This window comes from Homo sapiens, chromosome 3 (assembly GCF_000001405.40).
Source record: "Homo sapiens chromosome 3, GRCh38.p14 Primary Assembly".
Taxonomy (NCBI): domain Eukaryota; kingdom Metazoa; phylum Chordata; class Mammalia; order Primates; family Hominidae; genus Homo; species Homo sapiens.
In genome coordinates, this window is record NC_000003.12 from 170699703 (window position 1) to 170708341 (window position 8639).

Consider the following 8639-nt stretch of genomic DNA (forward strand, 5'->3'; position numbering starts at 1 on the left):
TCACTCTGCTAATAAAGACATGCCTGAGACTGGGTAATTTATAAGGGAAAGAGGATTAATTGACTCACATTTCAGTATGGCTGGAAAGGCCTCAGGAAACTTACAATCATGGTGGAAGGGGAAACAAACAAGTCCTTTTTCACATGGTGGCAGGAGAGAGAATGAGAGAATAAAGGTGCAAGCCCGTTATAAAACCATCAGATCTCATGAGAACTTACTTACTCACTATCACGAGAATAGCATGGGGGAAACCACACTCATGATTCAATTACCTCCCACTGAGTCCCTCCCACGACACGTAGGGATTATGGGAACTACAATTCAAGATGAGATCTGGGTGGGGACACAGCCAATCCATATTAAAATGCATAGAAAAAGACTGGAAGTACATACGCCTAATTACATAATGAATTAAGTACCTAACAGTGGTTGCCTCTGAAGAGAAGGAATGGGAATTAGGAGAGAATTTAAAAAGAACTGTTATGGTTTACTTGAAAATTATCACATTTTCTTTGGAGTAACCTGAACCAAAGGATTTTAAATGTATTAATAAAAATATCATTAAATTGTAATTATTTACTTATATTTGTCACTTAAACATAATGTTGTACAATCTGTTTTCTTAGCCATTATATTAAATGGGTTCTTTTTTTTGTTTGCTTTGTTTTTTTGAGATGGAGTCTTACTCTGTCACACAGGCTGGATTGCAGTGGTGTGATCTCAGGTCATTGCAACCTCCGCCTCCCAGTTTCAAGTGATTCTTCTGCCTCAGCCTCCTGAGTAGCTGGGATTACAGGCATGCACCACCACGCCTGGATAATTTTTGTATTTTTTAGTAGAGATGGGGTTTTGCTATGTTGGCCAGGCTGGTCTCAAACTCCAGGCCTCAAGTGATCCAACTGCCTTGGCCTCCCAAAGTGCTGGGATCACAGGAGGTTCAATTATTGAGGTTAGCGCATAACTATGAATAAAAATAGGTTTTAAAGGTATAGCATATTCTATTTAATAAATATGCTTCTTTAATTTGTTGATGGTGACTGTAAAAGTGTGAAATGTATAGAGAACTGCCTTGTCTGCCTCTGAGAAGTGCAGTTGTGTCAGATGAAATAAGAGACATGTGTGATGTGAGGCCAACGTGAAAGTTTACAGAAAGTCAACACATTTCCTATCACATTCTTTTATCTTCACTATGGTTTGTTAGGGATCTCATTAGATGCTTCTATTTCATTAGTCTTTTGGCATTTCACTCTTTCTTGTTTCTGATATGTGTCCTTCTTTGTCTTCATAGTGTTAGTTTCATTTTGTCCATTAGCCCATTTGTTTCTCACTTAAGCATTTCTTCTTTGGCGTTTTAACTATTTTCATATTCCTTAAGTTATTTAGACTTGATTAAACAAATAAATACCCTAATATGCATGAAAGTATTTGCACAGATAATTGTCAGAGGCATATAATTTCAAAAATGCTTTTATATACTGTTTATTTGGTGTATAAAAATGTGGCCGGCCATGGTGGTTCATGCCTGTAATACCAGCACTTTGGGAGGCTGAGGCAGGTGGATCACCTGAGGTCAGGAGTTTGTGACCAGCCTGACTAACATGGTGAAACCCCCGTCTCTACAAAATACAAAAAAAATTAGCCGGGCATGGTGGCGCATGCCTGTAATCCAAGCTACTTGGGAGGCTGAGACAGGAGAATCACTTGTACCTGGGAGATGGAGGTTGTGATAAGCCGAGATCGCGCCATTGCACTCCAGCCTGGGCAACAAGAGCGAAACTCCATCTCAAAAAAAAAAAAAAAAAGCTTTATATACTATTTTAAAATAAATGACACTAGTTTAAGGTTACACTTAGAGAAATTTCAAGCTTACTTTAAAAAACTAAATACTTGAACATATACAATTCTTCTAAGGACTACCAACCTCATATCTATTAAAGAAAACACTTGTGAATTAATAGGCATGGTTTTCACATGATCACAGGATGCTTGATCATTCATTGGCTAGGGTTATCACATACAAAGCTACTTCAGGCTACCCGATCCTTTTAAAACGACAAAAAGAGTATATATTTTACATATATATATATAATTTTTTTTTCCCCCAAAGAGAATGAGAAAGAGAGGCTCCCACATAGAGAAGAATTCGAGTTTGGAATGAGTCAGAATGTGGTAGGGAAATAGCAGAATGGCTGTCCAATACTAGCAGGTCTAGAAGTAGGGAATGGAAGTGCTGGTTAACTGGTTAACTGTGGAGAATGGTTTCTCTGGGTAGCCCTTTGCAGCCATCCAATGGCTGAGACAATGAGGAAGACCTGCAGCAAGTAACAGAAAGGCTGTGACTCAGCTGAGAGGTTGGGGGACATTGTACCCCAGGGAGAAGTGTTTTCTTTTCTGCAAAGACAGAGAACAGGAGAGGGAGAGTCTCCCATTTCTGAAGAGTCCAACAGCAGAAACAGCAGTCTCCAAGGCCCTGTCTGCAGGGGAAAAGGGACATGTCAGAGGTCCTGTTAAGTGGTAACAGCTGTGACCACAGCAAAAAAACCTCTAACTTTCTTGACACCATGGCCTACACCACCTACTCTACCTTTAGCTCATTCAGTCTGTAAATCTTTTATCCAATCTACTTATTATTTACAATTATGGCATGCTCTTTGACAGTCTTGGTGTTTTCTCTACATTGTTTTCTATCTTTAAGTTGTCTTCTCCTTCAGAAATGAGTCTGTGTTTTTAAAACTTCTTATGAATATGCAACACAGACCATACACAAAAGCTCTTTGATGATGTTTGGAATTAGAGAAAGGGGGAGATTTCAGACTCACATGTGTTTGGACAAACCTCAAAGAACTAAAAGATTTGAAAAAGATAGTGAGTGTAAAGATTTTTGTTGCTGTTGCTGTTTTCAATAAAGCACAAGCCTTCTTGCATCCAGCGCTCTTGAGTAATTGATTTTAATTAAAAAATAAAAGAAAACAGAGTCATAGCATCCAGAAAAGATATACAAGTGCTAGGTAAAATTCTAATTGGAGACAGTAAATTGAACATGTTCATTTAATCCCATTTCCTCCACAAATTCAATTAGTACATCAATATGATGATTTTTTAAAGCATAAACTCTCAGGAAAAAGAAATGGAAGAGAAGACTACAGCAACAAAATTGTGGAAGCTGGGGAACTAAAGCAATGACCTTAGAGGCAAAGAAAGTGGGATCCTGAGCTGGCATAAGGGGAAGGTGAGAAAAAATTTAGCGGACCCCTCAAAAGTCTTAGGAATTGATGGCACCAAGACCTCTGGAAGTGGGAGTATGTGTGTGATTAAGGATAAGCATAACTGAAAGTACATTAAAGAAGTTGTTAGATTCTGAGTCCAAATGGCCGGCATTTGCTTCTCTTCTATCCTGAATTAAGACTGGAGATTTGTTCTCAAGATACTATAACAGAGCTTCTCTGGACTGGGAGACTTCAAGATATTTTTGCAGTTACTATTGCTATGTGAGAAACCACCCCAGAACTAAGCTGGATGGAACAATCATCTGATAATACTCATAGATCCTGTGAGTCATTCAGACAGTGCATGGCAAGGACGGCTAACTTCTGCTCCACATGTCTGGGGCTTTTTAGCTGTAAAGATTCAACAGCTTGGTGCTGGGGTCATCTGGAGGTATCTCCACTCAACATGTCTGGCAGTGGATACTGTAGATTAGGGTCTCTGCTGGGCTCAGTTGGCCAGAACACCTATATGGGGCCTCCCAATGTGGTCTCTCTGCCTGGGCTTATTTGGGCTTCCTCACAGCATGGTGGCTGGGTTCCAAAGGCCAGTGCCCATGAAGGGAAGAGAGCAGTGAATGGCTTTCTTGTGATCTAGCCTCTTTCAAGATATGTGATTCCAAAGGGTAAACCCAGCTTACAGTTTTGAATTATCTACACATACCTCAGGAAAAAAAAAATTACACTATCATTCTCAGGGTTGAGAAATTTCATTTTTCTCACAGGTGGCTTTGACTTTGATTTCAACTCTGACAATTAATACCATAGAAGCCACCATTTGGCCTCCAAAATAATTTTTGGCAAGACTTTTATTCATGTTTACTGCCTTCAGAGCTCAAAGAGAATGGTTTTTGTTCAATCATTAAGATGTTTTGATCACTGTAAGTTTGACATATTATTATTCAGATAGGCATTTACTGAGTACCCCTTGCCATTTTATATTTAAGTTTGCAAATTCATTACTTAAGAATGTGCTAATCCCAAACCCATTATGGAGTGTTCCTGCAATTTGTATATCCTGACTTGAAGTCACTTGAGGTACTTTAGTTTTGGTCAGAGAATCTGTATAGCAGGCAAGTGAACTGAAAAAAAACAAAAAAAACAAAAAACCCCACTTTTCTACCCAGTTATCATCTTGTAAAATATGACATTTTGAAAATAGGTATAAGAACATTAGAGAACACTACTCTTATAGAGCGAGATTTACAGAAATAAACATCTATGTATGTTTTTAGCACGTTATTCATTAAACCTCATCAGTTATGGTTCATAGAAACTGCTAAGGTACTTTTCTACATTTTCTTTCAGTTCTTTTTTCTTTAAGTTATATTTTAAGTTCTGGGATACATGCGTAAAACATGCGGGTTTGTTACATAGGTATACATGTGCCATGGTGGTTTGCTGCACCCATCAACCCGTCTTCTACATTAGGTATTTCTCCTAATGCTATCCCTCCCCTAGCCCCCACCCCACCCCCGACAGGCCCCAGCGTGTGATGTTCCTCTCCCTGTGCCCATATGTTCTCATTATTCAACTCCCACTTATGAGTGGGAACATGCAGTGTTTGGTTTTCTATTCTTGTGTTAGTTTGCTGAGAATGATGGTTTCCAGCTTCATCCATGTCCCTACAAAGGACATGAACTCATTTTTTATAGCTGCATAGTATTCCATGGTGTATATGTGCCACATTTTCTTTATCCAGTCTGTCATTGATGGGCATTTGGGTTGGTTCCAAGTCTTTGCTATTGTGAATAGTGTTGTAATAAACATACGTGTGCATGAGTCTTTATAGTAGAATGATTTATAATCCTTTGGTTATATACCCAGTAATGGGATTGCTGGGTCAAATGGTATTTGTAGTTCTGGATCCTTGAGGAATCACCGCACTGTCTTCCACAATGGTTGAACTAATTTACACCCCCACCAACAGTGTAAAAGCGTTCCTATTTCTCCACATCCTTTCCAGCATCTGTTGTTTTCTAACTTTTTAACGATTGCCATTCTAACTAGTGTGAAATGGTATCTCATTGTGGTTTTGATTTGCATTTCTCTAATGACCAGTGATGATGAGCTTTTATTCATGTGTTTCTTGGCCACATAAATGTCTTCTTTTGAGAAGTGTCTGTTCATATAAAAAAAAAGCCATGCAAACATGTTAATTTTGTCCCTCTTTGATTTGCTATGGAAGTCTCTAGGCTTATAAAGAGCTTAACTCTGCAATGAAGTAAGATAGTTGTTTTTGTAGCAATACATAGTTGCTTTTATTGCTCTGTTATTTTAGTCTCGTTGTCATTCATTGAACTGAAGAAGAACTGTGAGTAGAGGGAGAAAAACACAGCGTCTTTCTCCTCCCCTCCTGGGAGCGGCGTCTCTCCCTTTCCCCAACAAGGCAAAAGCAGAAGCAACACTTCTGAATCACACAGTAATGTAAAATCTTTTTTCAATAAGAAAAAAAAGTTTTTGAGAAGCTCTTACTCTCACCTAAAGTTTTAAGGAGGAGCTGTTTATGACAAGCTTGAAGCTTGAAGCGCCCCTACTTTCATAAATAGCTCTCCCTTAAAACCCTAGTGATGTTTCCAGCAACTCCAATAATTTGTAAAACATTACCAAAAATTTCATAATTGCCAAACAATTTTTAAAACAACTGTCTGTGTCAAAGCATAAAATATTTTAAACTTGATTTCTATTTATGTTTAAAAGTTTTTTTTTTTTCTTTGAGTCAGAATCTTGCTCCGTCGCCCAGGCTGGAGTGCAGTGGCATGATCTCAGCTCACTGCAACCTCCGCCTCCTGGGTTCAAGCAATTCTCCTGCCTCAGCCTCCCGAGTAGCTGGGACTACAGGCACCTGACACCATGCCCTGCTAATTTTTTGTATTTTTTAGAGATGGGGTTTCACCATGTAAGCCAGGATGGCCTCGATCTGCTGACCTCATGATCCGCCTGCCTCGGCCTCCCAAAGTGCTGGGATTACAGGCATGAGCCACTGCACCCGGCCTGTTTAAATGTTATTTTAAGAAATTAATATATTTTTAAGCACTTTTAATCTCTCCATCTTAGGCTGAGTTTGGCTTGGTTGATAAGACTACCTCCTAACTTTTAGCTCTGGCCACACCAGGCCCACTTTCATGTTCTGGTCTCCCCTACCTTCCACTCTGCCACAGGTTCCAGGGCGTTTACTGGGTCTTTTCTTTTCTTTTCTTTTCTTTTTTCTTTTCTTTTCTTTTTTTTTTTTGAGATGGAGTTGCCCAGGCTGGAGTGCAGTGGCACGATCACTCACTGCAACCTCCGCCTCCTGGGTTCAAGCGATTCTCCTGTCTCAGTCTCTGAGGTAGCTGGTATTATAGGCACGTGCCACCACGCTCAGCTAATTTTTTTTTTTTTTTGTATTTTTAGTAGAGACAGGGTTTCACCATGTTGGCCCAGGATGGTCTCAAACTCTTTACCTAAGGTGATCCACCCACCTTGGCCTCCCAAAGTGCTGGGATTACAGGCGTGAGCCACAGCACCTGGCCTAGGTCTTTTCTTCCAACCCCATATTTACCCCTAGCACTACAAAACTTCTTACTTTAGAAATAGCAGTGGTAGAACCCAAGAAAGGACATGCCATATCTCTTAGTTCTCTGAACTGGAATCAGGTGAGAGAGTCTCCTTGGCCCCGCAGCTCATCCGTCCTGATACGAGAATAAAGAGTTAGAGGACACACCTTTAAAAAAGAGAATTAGAAGGTCAGGAAACATGGCAAAACCCCCTCTCTACAAAAAATACAAAAATTAGCCAGGCATGGTGGAGTGCTCCTGTGTGGTCTCAGCTACTCAACACGTTGATGTAGGGGGACCACCTGAGCCCAGGAGGTCAAAGCTGCAGTGAGCCTTGATGGTGACACTGAACTGCACGCAGCCTGGTGACAGAGTGAGACCCTGCCTCAAAAAAAAAAAAAAAAAAAAAAAAAAAAAAAAAAAAAAGTGGGATGTCGGGAGAGAGAAAGAATTAGAGGGAAATGAAAATGTCTAATCCAGCTTGGAGGTGCAAAAAGCAAAGAGGTGATGATGCACACCAAGTGTTAGTGGGATACCAATGGACCAAGAGTGGAAATATGAGGGGATAAGTTTCTGTTCAGTGTGGACAAAACCAGTTCTAAACCCAGACTTTATTGGGAGGAGCTCTGACTATGCCATTGACAGTCCTGCTGCCATTTTTTGAGATGTGCATCCTGAGATGTTCTCAGGGATGTTGAATACAGAGTCCAGAAGACTGTCAGACTGAGACCAATATCTTAATAACCTTAACTGCTTTAGCAGTAAGAATGCAAACTTTAAGACATACCACTTCCACTTTCCTGGGAGCCAAATTGGAATCAGGAAAAATAACCTTCTTATTCTCTGTGCCAGGATCACTGCTCTTACAGTAATGGAGATTAACTTGGCCAGGGAGACATTGTGAAGGAACAAGTGTTACCAAATTGATTGAAGTGAATCTCCTCTGTATTTCTGAAGCTCCATGTGCATGACTCTGTCATTACCTTCATCACACTCCCTTCTCATTTCCTGTTGAGTTGCCTTTCTTCTCTCCTTGGCTGTGAACTCTTTGAGGGCAGGCACCATGTTCAACTCATCTTAACCCTACACAGTGCCTGGTCCAAGGCAGGCACTCCATATGTACTTATTAAATGGAAGGTTTGATGGGTAAAAATGAAAAGAAGTGAGAAAAATTGTTTCCTAAAATCCAAATTGTGAGTAGGTAGGTGTCTTTGCTACACAAATACTTACTTTTAAAACTATCTCCCTGTTCAAGAACAGATTCTCCTTCATTTAGAAAGCCTGTTTAAGGCCTCTATTAAGCCTAGCCATGTAGCTATTACTCTTCTGCAGTTTAGTTTGAAGGGCTGTGTGAGGCAGGCATAATTTATAAGGGCTGACCCCATTCATCAGACAGTGGTCCAAGGAAGAAGAAAACCAGTGGAGAGCTAGCCAGGTGAGATGATCACAGCATAATGTAACAGAAAACCATAGAATTAGATACAGACAGGTGAGTGTCTGACTGAGTTTGTTAAAGGTTTTCATGCCTTTCTCCCCCTCTAGGCTGTCAGCTTCTTTGGGCAAAGACTGAGTCATCTCTGCATTCTCAGCACCTGGTGCAATTTAAGCAGAAATATCTTGAAGATTTTTCGTATCTTCAGGGAGATTAGGAATGGGAATGGAATGGGAACGCCAATGCAGGAAGGATGAGAAGGTAGGGTTCTTTCCCAAATGGCCCCTGGCAATGAGGTAAGTGAGGAGGAAGAAGGGAGGGAAAAACTTTTATTTAGCACTAACTGTATGCCAGACACTGTGTATAATATTTTACATATATTACAGAAGGCGATTGTTTCCAAAATTT

At 40.2% G+C, this 8639-nt stretch overlaps 1 long non-coding RNA gene across 1 annotated transcript in view; it reads left to right on the forward strand.

The window, feature by feature from the left end:
* Positions 1-8639, forward strand: part of SLC7A14-AS1 (SLC7A14 antisense RNA 1) — a 287921-nt gene that overhangs the window by 232418 nt on the left and 46864 nt on the right. The window contains exon 3 of the long non-coding RNA NR_135556.1: positions 8342-8492. This is a non-coding gene — a long non-coding RNA (SLC7A14 antisense RNA 1). The remainder of the gene's footprint in view (positions 1-8341; positions 8493-8639) is intronic.